This window comes from Homo sapiens, chromosome 6 (assembly GCF_000001405.40).
Source record: "Homo sapiens chromosome 6, GRCh38.p14 Primary Assembly".
NCBI lineage: Eukaryota > Metazoa > Chordata > Mammalia > Primates > Hominidae > Homo > Homo sapiens.
Window position 1 is genome coordinate 163801687 of NC_000006.12, and position 16583 is coordinate 163818269.

General features: G+C 40.6%; 1 annotated feature.

Annotated features, from left to right (window-relative positions):
• Positions 13344–13393: an enhancer, noted in NCBI's record as "active region_25424". NCBI's record gives its function as "activates an Ori minimal core promoter by ATAC-STARR-seq in GM12878 lymphoblastoid cells {active_cell/tissue: GM12878}" and the evidence as "EXISTENCE:reporter gene assay evidence [ECO:0000049][PMID:35858748]".

The window sequence follows — 16583 nt, forward strand, 5'->3', positions numbered from 1 at the left end:
ATCAATAATCACATTAACTACAAATAGTTGAAATACCTCAATTAAAAGGCAGAGATTGTCAAATTGGCTAAAAAAGCAAGGTCCAATTATATGTTGTCTACAAGAAACACACTTTAAACTTAAAGGTACAAATAGGTTAAATACATAAGTATGCAAAAAGATATCCCATGCTAAGACTGTTCAAAAGAAAGCTTCAATGTCTGTATTAATATCAAGAATATTTTAAAAAATTGTCCAGGATAAAGAAGGTAATTTTATAATGATAAAGGGAATAATTAGTCAAAAGGACTTAAAATTATAAGTGTTTATGGCTTTGAAAATGGAGCTTTAAAAATATATGAACTGGGGCCAGGGGAGGTGGCTCACACCTGCAATCCTAGCATTTGGGAGGCCGAGGTGGGCAGATCCTGAGGTCAGGAGTTTGATACCAGCCTGGCCAACACGGTGAAATCCCATCTCTACTAAAAAATACAAAAATTAGCCAGGCATGGTGGTGTGCACCTGTAATCCCAGCTACTCAGGAGGCTGAGGCAGGAGAATCACTTGAACCCAGGAGGTGGAGGGTGCAGTGAGCCAAGATTGCACCACTGCACTCCAGCCTGTGTGACAGAGCGAGACTACGTCTCAAAAAAAAAAAAGTATATATATATATATAGCCATTTCTCAGAGTTAATATAACAAGTTCACAGAAAATCAACCAAGATACAGTAGAGATTAATAGCACAATCAATCAACATGACCTGGTTCACATTTATAGAACACACTCCACTCTACAACAGCATAATGTTCAACACTGTTAGTCATTAAGGAAATGAAATTAGTACCACAATGTGAAGTCACTACACACCTGTTAGAGAGGCTAAAATTAAAAAGACTGATTATACCAACTATTGGTTAGGATATGGAGAAACTGGAAATTTTATTCACTGCTATTGGGAATGTAAAATGATTCAACTTTGGAAAACACTTGGGCAGTTTCTTCAGAAGATAAAAATCAACTGTATTCAACCATTCTTCTCCTGGGTGTATATCCAACAGAAATGAAAGCATATGTTTTTTTACAAAAACTTGTGCACAAATATTTAGTAGCTTTCTTAATAACAGCCAAAACTGGAAACAATCAAATGCCCTTCAAGTGATGAATGGATGAAAAATTGTGGTATATTCACACAAGGGAATACTTTTTCAACAAGAAAGTCAATGCATTATTGATATATGCAATGTAAGTGAATCTCAAAACAATTATGCTAAGTGAAAGATACCAGAGAAAAAGAAGCCATATTATGTGATTTCATGATGTGAAATTCTAGAATGTATTGTTAGAAAAAGCAGATCAGTGGTTGCTTGGGATGGAGTGAGAGGAGGGCAGAAAGGGAAGAATTATAAATGAGCATGAGGAAACTTCGGGAGCTGCGGGAATGTTCACTAGCTTGATTGTGCTGATGGCTCTATGGGTGTATACACATCACAGCTTATCAAGTTGTCTTATTTTATTTTATTTTATTTTTAGGGGGAGTTTCGCTCTGTCACCCAGGCTGGAGTGCAGTGATGCGATCTCAGCTCACTGCAACCTCCACCTCCCAGGCTCAGGTGATTCTTCTGCCTCAGCCTCCTGAGTAGCTGGGATTACAGGCACCTGCCACCATGCCCAGCTAATTTTTGTATTTTTATTAGAGAAAGGGATTCACTATGTTGGCCAGACTGGTCTTGAACTCCTGACCTCAGGTGATCCACCCGTCTTGGCCTCCCAAAGTGCTGGGATTACAGGCATGAACCACTATGCCTGGCCGGGTTGTCCGTTTTAAATATGTACAAAAATTGTCAATTATATCCCAAGAAAACAGCTGAACAATAGGAATTTTACAAGAACTGAAAATAGGAAATTATTATTTTATGATCTTTACCCAACTTAACCAAGTCTCCAAATTGAAAGAATCGCCTTCAATCAGATTTCAAACTCTCAATAGATATCCTGATTTTGCTCTTTCCTCTCTGAGACACTACCATGGCTCTGTGGAGGCAGTGTTCTCCCCTTTACGCCACTAAGCCGTAAACTCACTTAGTCTGATCAACAGGCTGCTTTGGTATTATTTTGGGGAGCCAGCATTTGATAGTACTTCACTTCCATACAATATGACACATATTAAAAAGAAGGGATTCTACACCAGTTAACATAAAGAAATTCCAGGATGTCATGTTAAGTGAGAAAAGCCGAATGCAGAGGAAAGTTTTCTGTTTTTGTATTTCTATTTTGTATTTTGTTTTCTATTTTTGATTTAAACAAACAGCATCTTAGATGAATATATATGCATGTGTATGATGACATGACCCATGAGATAGCTTTGGATAGAATCATGCCAGTTAATAAACATTGATTATCTGGGGGAAATGATGTATATTGGAGGGTAGGAAGGTGGGAGTAATAAAAAAAAAAAAAAGAAAAAAAAACAGGGAAGCAGAAAAAATCACATATCCAAAGAAAAAGAAGTGTCCATAATCCAGCAGCATTTGTATTACGCACCCATTTCTATGCTTAGAGATAGCTTCAAACTGTTACTCGAAATAATGTCAAGTTTCTTTGAATTTTCCTGAATTAACAAACACACAGCAAAAACTATTATTTTATTACCCTCTCTGTTACTTCTATCTCTAATTTTACAGGTCTAATCTCATTAATTATAATAATTCTAGTGTAGTGAATAGTAAATTTTGGAATAATAAGATCTCTTTAATAAGGATTTTTTTCTACAAACAGCAATAACTTTTGCTTTATCATTTGTTTTACAAATCTCATTAAAACTTTACTGGTTGATCAATATTTGAGAATTTTTAAAGATATAAATCTTCTACTGTGTTTTTTTAAAAAAGAAAACTGTTCTAATGCCCATGTTTTCACTTTTACAAAACTAGCTTAATTCCATACAAACTGCAAAGACCTTGGCACTGCCTTTGTCTCCAGTGAAAAATGAGCTCCATTTGATGGCTGACCTTCCAAACAACTGTAGCTTCCACAGAAATATATAGGATCTATCGGCCCACAGCTGTTACCTTATAAGAATCATTACTTGAGTGCTCAAGGGAAAACTAGTTCCACGGGTAAGGCTGCGTTGATGGAACACTCAAAAATACAATAAAATAAAATGGATGCATATAAACCGTGAGTGAGAGCTTTGATTAGAAGCAAAGATGAGTATTTTTGCTACCGAAGATAGGCAGAGTGGTGTCAGTGTTGGAGAAAATTGGCTGTTAACATTCGCAATTATGGGAGACACTTAAATGGATGCTTTTCACGGCCCTTCCTCAAAATGGAGATGAGTGAAAATTTCGCAAATAATGCAGCTTATAAAATAGAAGTGTAGCTGAGAGTATATTAGGTTGCTTGGAGAGGTGAATTAGCATCTTTTGTCTATGTGTGGTGTTTTGTGGAATGTTCATGAAGGCAGTGAGAAAAGATGGTTGAATTTCCTGACCAATTCCTTTTTATGCTGTTGACTTGTGGTTTGGCAGAAGCGACAGATTCCTTCATCTTTTAACGTTAACCAAGTAGCTCTTTGCTACCCAAACGACCAGAAACAGATGCTCCCCTCCTTATTTCCTTTAAAGGTGGGACATTACCTACTTTGATAGACGATGGAAATGGTTTCATTTATAACCCTCCAATGTTTAAATTCCTCATGCTCCAGTCACGTTACGGCGGTCACCTTGGGAAGTTTGGGCATATGCTTTATGTTTTGCTGGGATGAGAAATGTGACTAATGCCTCGATAACCTGAAATGAGCCTCCTGCCTCTTGGGTGTCATCTTTGCATGTGACTTTACAGTGTGTGTTTTCTGTGTCCCTTCTCCTTGCCTTATTACCAGCTTCTTCCTTGCTCCCTAATGGACCATTCAGGTGCTGTTCAGAGATTTGTTTTATTGTTCAACTTCAAAGGTAACGCATATGATGCAGGGAATTCAGAGATTAGATTGCCGGGGCACTGACAGTAAGCCCATATAGATAAGCATAGGGAAAATTTTTAATTAAAACCAATTAACATGAAATTGGAGTTTCTAGTCATTAATTGTGCATAGTCTGATTTAAATTTCTGAAGCTCCATGGGTTTTGCATTAGTGACTGAATCGGTGGGAACAAGGATATTCATGGGTATTGTCTTTGCAAGTGACTTTACCTAAAGTTCCCTTGCAACTTTTGTTTCCACTCAGGAATGAGACTGAGGTGAAATGCCTAGGGATAGAGGGAGGGACAGGGAGTCATGAAGAACTCCAGCTATGCTGCCCAGGGCACATGAGCCAAAGCTTTCTAGGGGCCCAGAGTTTTCCTCCTCCCTGACAAAAAGTATATTCCTTGAAGTAGTCATGGCCTTTGTAAATGATTTCAAGTAATAATATTGAAGCCATTTTCCAAGAGCATAGATTTAACCTTTGGTCTCCCCAGCTTCTCATGGACAACAGCATGGCCCTGTGGGTGGTGAGGCCAGTGGAGGAGGGCAGAGTGGCCTCAGGAATATCAGTAAGCCAGGCGCAGGTGCATGGTCGCACAGTGGGCATTGCTCCCAGGGCTGTCCTGGTACATGTGGGGACAGCCACAGCTCAGGCCCCTTGAAGAGTAAGAGCTCTGGCCTGGGGAAGTCACACTCCCCATTGGTGGACCTGGACCTGAAGCGAGACTTTCACATATCATAAACCCTCTTTTTATCACCAGTGATAGGGAGATGATAGTATTTGTGACGTCTGTCCTCAGCAAGTCCAACTGAGTCTCTGGGCTCTGCTGGTAACAGTGGGAATTGTACTAGGGGGTTTGAGAGGACAAAGGAGTGGCAAGAAGCACTGCCACTGATTACTGATGAAGTTAGTAGTCAGGGTTCTCCAGGGAAACAGAATCAATAGGGTGTGTTGGTTATGCATTACTTATATGATGTGTACATATGGAGATAATGTAGGCTGTGTGTGTATATTTACATATGTTCATATGTATATACAGTATATATAATTATGTAATATATAATGTACATGTATGTATATTACATATATTGCAGATATAGGTATATGTATTATATAGTATTCATATATACTATATATGTTAATGTCTAGTAAATATGTATAATTACATATAATTATAGATAACATGTCTATAATAGTAATATATAATATAAAACAAGAGAAAGAGAGAGGGAGGGAGAGAGATCTATGTTACAGTTGGCTCATATGATGTGGGGGTTGGTGAATCAGACATCTGGAGGCCAGGCCAGCAGGCTAGAGTCTGGAAGGAGTTGGTGTTGCAGCCATCTGGAGGCAGAATTTCCTCTTCCTAGAGGAGTCTTTTTTCTCTTAAAGCCTTCAGCTGATTGATTGGAGCCCACCCACATCATGAAGGGCAATCTGCTTTACTTAAAGTCCACAGATTAAATGTTCATCTCATCTAAAAAATACCTTCACACCAACATCCAGAACAGTGCTTGACTAAATGTCTGGGTACGTTGGCCTGGGCCCAGCGGATGCATGAAATTAACCATCCTGCCTGACGAGGGTGGAGCCGAGTCACCCATGCTGTGATTGGCTGTCCCAGGAGCAGCTCCGTCTTGATTGGTTGGTCGGAAAATTGGAGGCAGAGGGGCAGTGGGAGTGGCCGTGCGGGCCTGCTTTGGGAACAGAGGGACCCTCCCTGCTGTTCTGTTCACACGGAAGCGTGTCTCAGCGTCTGGGGGCTTGGAGAAAGAAGCCCTGAGGGGCGGTCCTGAGAAGAATGCAGCAGTGGCAGAGCAAGCCTCGGCTTACCAGGAAGTAGGCCTTGGAGACAGGGGGTATGCCAGGCCAGCTAAGGACTGCGGTGTCGGAGAGACTAGGGCTGGCTTTCAGACCAAGTCCCCTCTGAGAGTTTCTTTAATTACTCACCTCAAACCCAGTTTACTTCCTAAGACGGGAGCGAATCCTGCAAGTGAGCCCTGAGAACAAGCACAAAGTCTGCTGGCAGAGAAGGGTCCGCCCGAGGCTCTGGCCCCAGGGAACCCCTCGGTTCTTCTCCAACATTTTGCTGAGGGAAGGCTGCTCTTGTGTTGAACCTACCGAGGGAGAGTTCCTAGGTTTGCATGGCAAGAAATGTGAAGATATTTTTAAGACAAATTCACCCCTGCACACCACCGGCTTTCGAGTCACAGACCCTAGTAAGAGCTCAAGAGTGACTTCATTTGTAATAGCTGAAGGATTATATTTTATCACATATTTGCCCATCAAAACATTATATGACACACATTAAATATTTTTCTATGTTTTATCTGTCATGTGGTTTTTTTCTTGATGAACATTTATATCTTGCTACATTTTGAAGTTTAAAACCATGAGATATAAAACTGCTAAGGTGTAAACTTCCAGCAGTACTTGTATAGAGCCATTTCCGTGACAGCAAAATTAATTTTCATGAATAAAGGCCAGAAGAAAATATAACATAAAAGGATGGTAATTTCTGGGTAGAGGGATTACAAGTAATTTTATTTTTCATCTTTTTTTTGTTTTGTTTTGCGAAAATTGTGCATTAGCTTGTATTACAGTTAGAAGACTCCTCACTATTCCAGTCTGAAACATTAAGCCTCTTCATCTTTAAATTCAATTGAGAAGAGTGGTCAATTTAGAGATTAAAATGGATTCCAGCCATAAGGGGCCAGTTAAGTCCTTTAAATCAATTACCCACAAGATCCAAGCCAATAAGATGAAAAGCAGCGTGCGCTCTATAGGCTAACCCGGGAACATTTAGAAATGAAAGTCACCCGAGTTTACAGCAAAGGGAGTCTGGACTCTGTTTCTCCTTCACTTGACAGGGCTGTGCCTGGTGAAATACAAAATTATGATCAAGACAAAGGAAGGACAGGGGACTAAGAAAAAAACTCCAGTCATCAGTTAGCAGGCACACAGCGGGCACTGCAAGCATCTCAGGGTCTTTACGTGCCTCCTCAATTTCTTTTTAAGGTAGCTCAGCCTCCAGCTCTCGTCTCCCCTCCCCAGTCATCTTTTTTCTTAAAATTCATATTCTGGACAGAAGTCAGTGGGTTTCCTTACAGTTTTATTAAGATTTTCAATTTCTCAGAAATAATTTCTAGGCCTTGAAGCTTCAGCAGAGAGCATGTGCTTTGTACATGGAGTTTACCAGATGGAACCATTAGGTTATATTTATAGGTGAAAAGCCGCGTGAATCTGGGACTTTTCCCTTATGCTGGGCTGCTATATTTTGAGAGACAGATGCCTTGTAAAGATGAAAGATGGGAGGAGAGGATGGAACTGTTGTCAACAATTAGAAAAATGGTACTGGAAATCGGCGATGATTTTTTTACAGGCCCATTTTAATTCGTGAGTGTTAGGGAGACAGTCATCCAGGGTCAGGTTGGTGAGGCAAGACTGAGTTGGGAAATGTGTATTCAGTTGGCAAGAAAGGTCAGTGCACTAGAACTCCTTTCATTGTCTGGATTTTCAGAAGAGTGCTCGACGGTGTCTGATACATGGGGAGGTTGACAATGGAGCAGGGAAGGAAAGTTGTTCACTAGGAATGTTCTGGAAATTCACTTCTTTTTATACAGACTATTCTTTCTCTCTCTCCATCACAAGGTATCAGTAAAACACAGTCTGCCCAGGAGTGGCTCATGCTCCCAGAGGCGTGGGGAGGAGCTGTGTTGTGGAGACACACGTTTCCTTCTCTCATTCCCTGAAGAGAACAGACACCCCAAAAATGTGGCAGCCGGAGGAAACCTCACTCCCCAGACTCTGCAGGAAACTTACGTGCAAGTCTTTTACGTAAGTGAAAGATTTACGTAAAAGTCTTTTTTACATAAAGAGGACTGTCCAAGCCCAACTTTGTTCACGTTGGCAGCTCAGACTGAATTGTTTTGAATTATTTGAGGGATGGTCCGTCATGGCAACAAAGGCTCGCTCTGCAGCGCAGTCTCCAGTAGAGCTGTGGACAGCTCATGCAGTTTTTGGACATGTAAATCATATAAATAGTTAAATACACAAGTTGAGATGCATTTGGTCAAATAAGGTTCTTTCTGAGCCCTAAGTGTTTGTAGAAAAAGCAGCAGTTCCTATTTATGGTTTGTGACCATTTGTTTCCCTACATGGTATTAAAAGGAATTATTTGTGTACAGACACTATATAATATGGGTGAATTGCACTGGGTGCTCACTTGAGATGTGTGTGTGTATATATATAATTTTTCATCTTTTTTTGTTTTACAAAAATTGCCCATTAGCTAGAATTACAGCTAGAATTACAGTTAGATTTAGAAGACTTCTCATGATTCCAGTCTGAAACATCAAGCCTCTTCATTTTAAAATTCAATTGAGAAGAGTGGTCAATTTAGAGATTAAAATGGATTCCAGCCATAAGGGGCCAGTTAAGTTCTTTAAATCAATTAAATCAATTAATAATCAATAGATATGTGTGTGTGTGTGTGTGTGTGTGTATATGTATCTCCCTTGAGATATGTGTGTGTGTGTGTATATATATATATTTAATTCACCATTGCTGCCTTGAAACCTTGATATTTTGATGCAGGTGGCCTATGATTAAAATTAGAATAGCAACAGACATCCATTGCCAGTCCAGGCCCAATTGTCTGGGAGTGTGTGTGTGAGAATATGTCATAGAGTTTTAATGGAGAGTAAGGAGGTTTGGGACTCAAAGAAATGGTTAGTCCCAGTTTTTAAAGCTAGTATAAGAATTTATATGATGACGGTGTGTATATGCATGTGTCCATGTCTGTGTGCGTCTCACACACACACACACACACGCAACCCGAGTGATTTGTTGTTTTGTGTGCTGTTGTGCCGGCAGGCAATGCTGTCCGTGCTCTACTCAACAGTCTGCTTTCCTCCAAAGCTGAAACCCTAGAGCAGTTGATCTAATGTGTCTTGCACTAGGGCAGGCATTTATGAGGATGTGGAGCGACACATTTGCTGTCATGGCTTTCTCATGTGTATTTATCACCACCTCATTACTGAGGTGCTCAGAGTTAAATCTCAAGAGCAGAGTAGAATCCAGAACATGGTATTTAAACCAGAGGATCAACCTGGTTGGTTGTCCTTAATTCTTGGAATTTAAGCAAGAGAAAGAATTTTAAATGAGAAAAAGGACAAAGGGCTTTAACACCATTTAAGAGAATGGGGATTCTGACATTTGGGTTCCTATTGTACATTAAACTTTCTCCATTACTGCCTTGGGGAAATGGAAATTGCTGTAATTGGGGGTAATAGATACAATAAAGTGTGCAAATTTTACCCAACACATAAACAAACAAAGCCATTATGGTAATTCAAGTCTACATTTTATTTTCCTATTCTCTGCATTCCTGAATAAAAGCAAGGAGTTGCCCCATGACTTTGACATTTAATATTAGGCTGATCTTTTCAGGCCATTTTCTTCCCACATATCTATACACACACACACACACACACACACACACACACACACACTTTTTTGTATTATTCTGCAGTCCTCACAGTCATAGTTAAAGGTTTGGGATGGAGTCCCAGAGCTATGCTAGTTCAAGCCCCTGCCTCAAGCAATGCTAGCCAGCTGAATCGTAAAGATGGCAATAAATCCTATTAGTGCAGATTTCAAGGACTTATAACTTCTCTTGGTGGCCTGTGTTTGCATTTAATCATTTAGACAAGCATTTTTCTAATAGCTGAGCAAATTTTCTTTGTATTTGATGCAGAGGTACATTATTTAGGGTCTTTATTTAAACATAATTAATTGAAATAAATTTTACTTTGAGGAATAGTAGTTCTCAGAATTCTTCAGCTTGCCTGCAGATAAGCTTGGTAGACTGCAGCTGCTACATGGAGCCCGGCTGCCCCTAGCAGTACATGACCTTGCCATCTTTGCCAGGCATATTTCTGCTGTAGCCTCCAGTTTCTTACAGAAATAAGACTGCATTATATGTTTTATTGGTTTATTCTTTTAGTGTTGTGTCTTGAATCTTTAGTTCTCTTATTATTTTTTCTCTGTCTTTTTAATATTTGCTTAGTTCAGTCCTTGGCAAAAAAAAAAAAAGCCATTCAATAAATATTTGTGGAATGGAAAAATGAGTATACCTCAGATGTTTTGCTGAAATAGAGTTATATTACTTTAGGGTATATCAGATAGGTTCCTTTGCTGTAGGACCTTTCAGAGTCTAAAATGTTATGTATCTTGTGTGGATAAAAGGGAGATAGAATTTTGTGAAGTTTGTTTTCTCTGAATATAATTGGTTCTTAAAATGGTGTGTGATGGTTGATTTTATGTGTCAACTTGAGTGGGCTAAGGGTTGCCCACATAGCTGGTAAAACATGATTTCTAGGTGGGTCTGCAAGGATGTTTCCAAAAGAGATCAGCATTTGAATCAGTAGACTGAATAAAGACCACCCTCTTCAATGTGAAGGGCATCACACATTGCAAATGGCCTGGATAAAACGGGCCAGGCATTCCACTTGGCTGAGTTATACCACTGACTTCCTGGTTCTCCAGCTTGCAGTTGGGATATGGTGGGACTTCTCTGCCTCCACAATCATGTGGGCCAATTCCCCACAATAAATCCCCTCTTATATATATCCTCTAAATATATCCTATTGGTCCTTTCTCTCTGGAGAACCCTGACTAACACAGAGTGCTTGGCATATAGTAATGAGTGTGTGTGTGTGTTGTTATTTATATTGTTATTATTGTTTTTGTTACTGCATTTGTCTTTGCAACCCTTTTTCATGGGATTTCTTAGTACTAGAGTTTCAGTAGAACACACTTTTGGGAAAGGCTAACATATTCTCATCCTATGTTAGGAAGATTCATTGATTTATATTACATTAATGTGTAATAATTCACTGGGGCTTGTCTGACGTTTATCATTGTGTTATCTATAACAATGCAGTTTGTTAGGAAATCAATTTGACAAAACAAACTTCAAGGGGAATGCTTAATTTCAAGTGAACGAAGTCCTCAGAACACGCACAAGCACTTTTGAAGCACCGATTTATTTTCTTATAAGTGTTGATGAGCCAGTGACTTCTAAGAAGACCATCTTGGACCTGTTCCTGGCAACATTTTATGATTTTGTTTCATTTTATGTGTTTTCAATTAAAGACACTGCATTTGTCATCTTTCCTTGTCAGTCAGAACTAGTTGCTGATTAGTTAGATGCAGCACTCTAGAATGTTTCTTTGTACACTGACTTGTGTCAGTGACATATCACTGACATGTTTTTATTGATGTCCCCACCCAAATTTCATGTTGAACTGTAATCCCCAGTGTTGGAGGTGGGGCCTGGTGGGAGGTGTTTGGATCCTGGGAAATTTCGCCCTTGGTTGTGATGGTGAGTTCTTGTGAGATCTGGTTGTTGAAAAGGGAAGCAGCTCCTCCCCAACTCTTTCTCCTACTCCTGCCATGTAAGACACCTGTTCCCCCTTTGCCTTCTGTCATGAGTAAAAGCTCATGAGGCCTCCCCAGACGCAGAAGCCACTATGCTTCCTGTACAGCCTGCAGAATCACGAGCCAATTAAACCTCTCTTCTTTATAAATTACCCAGTCTTAGATATTTCTTTATAGCAATGCAAAAATGGACTAATACAGTCAGGATGAAATTCCATCATGGTTTTAGAGCTGATTTATCATGTTTATCAAGGTCCCTTTGGATTATTTCTGTGTTCTAAGATGTGGCGAGCTTATTGTCTTCTGTAAGCATGGTGGCTACCATCCATTCAGATAAGAGTTCGTGGTGAGAGTGATCAGTTGCCTTCCTTCCTTCACTCCACTGAATGTCATTACTTGCAGTATCCCTATGGTTTTACAGGAGGCTTAATTGTGCCTTAAAATTGCCTTTCCCTTTTGCTTCCAAAATTAACATCCTTACTGAAGCATGGGTAGATTGTGCCCCTTGCTTAACCAGTCTCTCTGAGGCCTGTCATTGTCAAAGAAGAAGCTAGAATGCATCTGTCAGGACTTTGTTACTTGCATTTACAAAGGAACTCTTATTTGGAATAAATTCTGAGCATCAGACTTTCATTGACGGGGCCGGGTGAGGTGGCTCATGCCTGTAATCCCAGCACTTTTGGAGGCCAAGGTGGGAAGATTGCTTGAGGTCAGGAGTTGAGACCAGCCTGGCCAACATGATGAAACGCTGTCTCTACTAAAAATACAAAAATAAGCCAGGTGTGGTGGCTCACAACTGTAATCCAGCTACTCGGGAGGCTGAGGCTGGAGAATTGTTGGGACTCGGGAGGCAGAGGTTGCAGTGAGCTGAGATCGCACCACTACACTCTGGCTTGGGCAACAAAGCGAGACTCCATCTCAAAAAACAAACAACAACAACAACAAAAAACACACAACCCCCCACCCCCCAAAAAAAACCCAAAAAACTTTCATTGACTGGTCTGCAGTTACCAAGGTAGTTCTCCGCCCCCACTTTCCTCCCTTCCCCACCACTTTCTCTTTCTTCTCTTTCTTCTTTTCTGTTTTCTTTCTACCCTCTCTTCCTTCCTTCCTTGCTACCTAACTTCCCTCCCTTTTCCTGTGAGTACTCTGTCTATTTCCAGCCCTCAGGGACTTTCCTTGTCTTCCATGTCAAGTATAACAGTGGCAGATCTTCAGTAGCTCTTGCCGATTTGCCAACAGGATGTGAAACTTTCTAGCTGGCCTCTGCTGTGCTCACCAACCTGGCCAGAAGGGACAGCTTTTTATACTCTGGGTTTATGTCTCGAAGCCCCAAGAAAAATTAGAAATTCATAAACACATGATAAGTAGAATTTTATCACTGATTTTTCTGTTGTCAAATTTGAACAACTGATTTAAAGTTCAGTTTATTATAGCTTGAGAGGAGTTGGAAAAGCATTCGAGACAAATATTTTTGGGCTCAGAACACGTGTGAGGTCACTTTGCCCTCGTAGAAGTCTCCTAGTGGTGATGTTGAATGGTGATACGAGATGGAAATCTGGAGTCTATTCCTGGAACCTCCTCTGACTCATCCCGTTATCCGGGGACGATTATTTCATCATTACTCTTGCATCTGAAGGATGTGGATGTATATTAATGCTCTAACCTTCACGCATCCTTGAATCCTGAGTAGTCTGCTGGAGTCTGTCCTGCAGCAGCTTCCTGGAAGAGTGGCCAGCCCGCTGCGTGGAGGGACTTGGAGGGGTCAAGGTCTCAGCAGCAGGGCCTGGGGTGACTGCAGAGGCCAGAGATGCTCTTCAGGCTGTGCCTGAGGCATGGAACGGTCTGCAATGCCTCCTGAGCTTAGGTCTGGGCATGTGCCAAGTGACTAATCGTATGATTTTTATAACAGTTTAGAGGTTCTAAGGACATATGCATGTTAAAACCTTTACAAGATAATAGTTTCCTTTGATTTAAAGAAATATTGGTGTGGGGGAGCTGGCAAGAGGGAGAGGAAGGAACCACAGAAGCCCTTTCTAGACAGACCATCAGTGACAGAAGACTAGTACACACGCTCAGATATTTGAGATCAGCCAAGCGAAGCATGACTGAATTTCCTGATGCAAAGTTCTGGTGTTTTGTTAGGGGTAGCTTTTTGCATTCGGTATGAGTCTGGCTGTGTTGAACCCTGCGGATGAGAATACTGGCAGTCACTGCAGAGGCAATGAGGAGAGGGCTCTTTGGAAACATTCAACATGTAAGGAATGTGGTCCCCCACTTCCGCAGGTCCCCCACATTCCTTCCAACATTTAAGTGGAAGGGGTGGGGACAGGCCAGTGGCCATTTGTCCTGTCGCATATGACCCTTTGACAGTGAGTGGCCTCTGTGTTATGTAGCATGTTTACAACTAAAACACTAAATGATGGTGATAGAAAATACCAGAATGTAATGTAACTTCAAGATATATGAGCAGACCGTACACCATTGATTCTATGGAATGAACAATCTTATGATGCTTAAAAAAAGTTCATGATTTTAAAATGGCTCTTTATCTTTCTATTTAATCTGTTTGATTAAAAATGAAAGAGAGGGATAAAATAACGATTTGTTATTTTTCTTGTATTTTGAGAAGAAATGATAGAGCATAAGTCTGGAACTGAATCCTTATTGAAGGGATAAGGAGAGAGGATTCATCTCCAGGGTCCAAGTACTTATTCTCAGCAAATGATGTATTATAATTAAGCACTAATCTAAGAGGACCTAGAGTTCACAATGATTTCCCCAATTAATTCTGATTAGCATGTGAAGACAATAAGGGCAGGAATCATTATCCCACTCACCCAGCACAGAGAGGCTGCTCTCCGCCCAAGTCACACAGTGTCACCCATGAACCTTCCCCAGGCTCTCTGTGCTGCCTCCTTCTCCAGCAGCCATCAGTGCTTGAAGAAATGCAAAGACTGGTGGTTCCCGCTTGGGGAAGTGGTTCACCTTGCACAAGGTGGATAGTAGAACTGAGAAATGGACAGTGCCAGAAATCCCTAGAAATCTTTGTTGTTCCTTCTTTCTGATGCCTTGTCTTGGAGGTTTAATAACAGTGGCTGATATTTGTTGAAGTCTCACTGTGTACAAGTGCTTGGAAACACACAGTATATACATCCAAGTCACATAGTCCTACGACACTGGCATTGAAAGTCCATGTGGTTGGTATACATCCTAGCAGGTACATGTGGGGACTAGGAAACAGACCACTTGGATTCAAATTCCAGCTCCATCATCTGTGAGCTGTGTGACCTTGGACATGTTTCTTAACCTCTCGGAGTCCTAGGTCCTCATCTCTAAAATGGGGATAATAGGAGTTTTCTGTCTCATAGGGCTGTTATAATGATAAAATTATATGACAAACATCAAGGGCTTAGCTTACTATTTGGCATTCAGTAACTGTTTCTAATATGAACTAATAGTATGCCTCTTACTGAGCTTCCAAGTATGAGTTCAGAGATGAACAAGACTGCAATTCTGGCACCCTGACAGCTCAGCCAGCTTCTCTTCTGGGGCGGGGAGGGGGGGCGGTTGTAGACTGGCCTCAGCTGATTTAAATTTGTTGCTCTGGGGTTTAACCTAGGTGGAGGCAGTTCTGTGAGCATTTTCCAACCATTTGAAGTGTCTAAGACATCTATAGGACACCTGGCAATAGATGAAGCTCACATGGTTTAGGACAAGTTGGGTGTGAGTTGGTATGGATTATATCTGGAGTGATCAACTTTTGCTGGAACTAGACCTGGTTTAGGAGCTTAGGATAAAGATGGACAAGGTGCCATTTATACAGACGTTGGCTTGCCACTGTCTGGGCCCATCAGTTCCACATGTGTGCATGTGATTTATAGGTCTGGAATGCAATCAGCGTTTGTTAGAGCAAATAACATCCATTTCAATTTCTGCTGTGGAATGACCTTCTGTTGTACTGACAGATGCTGCCCTGAGCCTGGGCTCATATATTTCCCAGGTACCCCTGGAAATTCATGCATCTTAACATTGATGACTGGGAATGTGTAAAAAGTGGACAGTAATGAATGTTCACAATGTACCTGTTTTATGGAGGCAATTTCTACTTTAGTTGAGTTACCTTCAGAGGCTTTTAAAGTTGAGCAAAAGTACAAAATCCTATGAGCTCTGAGACAAATAGGTGTACTAATCGTATTAGTCCATTTTCATGCTGCTGATAAAGACATACCTGAGACTGGAAAGAAAAAGAGGTTTAATTGGACTTACAGTTCCACATGGCTGGAGAGGCCTCAGAATCATGGCGGGAGGTGAAAGGCACTTCTTACATGATGGGGGCAAGAGAAAAATGAGGAGGAAGCAATAAACCCTTCAGATCTCGTGAGACTTACTCACTATCACGAGAATAGCACAGGAAACACCAGCCCCCCATGATTCAATTACCTGTCTTTGGGTCCCTCCCACAACACATGGGAATTCTAGGAGATAGAATTCAAGTTGGGGTTTGGGTGGGGACACAGCCAAACCATGTCACTAATTTAATATTTTTTCCCATTCAGATATTCTGATTATAAAACAAAGGCATACCCACTGAAGAACATTTAGGAAAAAATAGAATTATAAAAAGAATAAATTAAATTCTAATTTTGCTATGAAGAGGTAATCACTGTCAATTTTTAGATGAGTTTCTTCAAATGTTACTTTTAATGGATGAATATACATTTATTTGTGAGTAAAACAGGGATTATGCAATGTGAAGAAATTTGCATCTTGATTTTATGCTTAGCACATATTGTAAACATGTCCCATGTTATTCAGTAATCTCCAGAAACATGATATTGATGCCGCCTGACATGCCATGGTCTATTTAAATGTGAGTTATAAAACCATTGATCTAATATTAAATGATATGTTTCTTGAAAATTTTCACTATTATAAGTAATAGTGAAAATGAGCATCCTCATTTTCCTGCACTAAATACACTTCTAGGAACCTATATTCAGAGTCCAAAGATTTGCAGAAAAGGATGCTCATTGCCACAATGAAAATGTGGCAGTGAGGATGCTCTTCTGTACATCTTTGATTGGACCGTGAGCACAGGTTCCTAGAAGTGTCTTTAGTGCAGCTAAGGGCATATACACTTCAGAGACATTAACACAGTATTTCCAAGGTTGTTCTCCCAAATTTCCTGGGTTAACT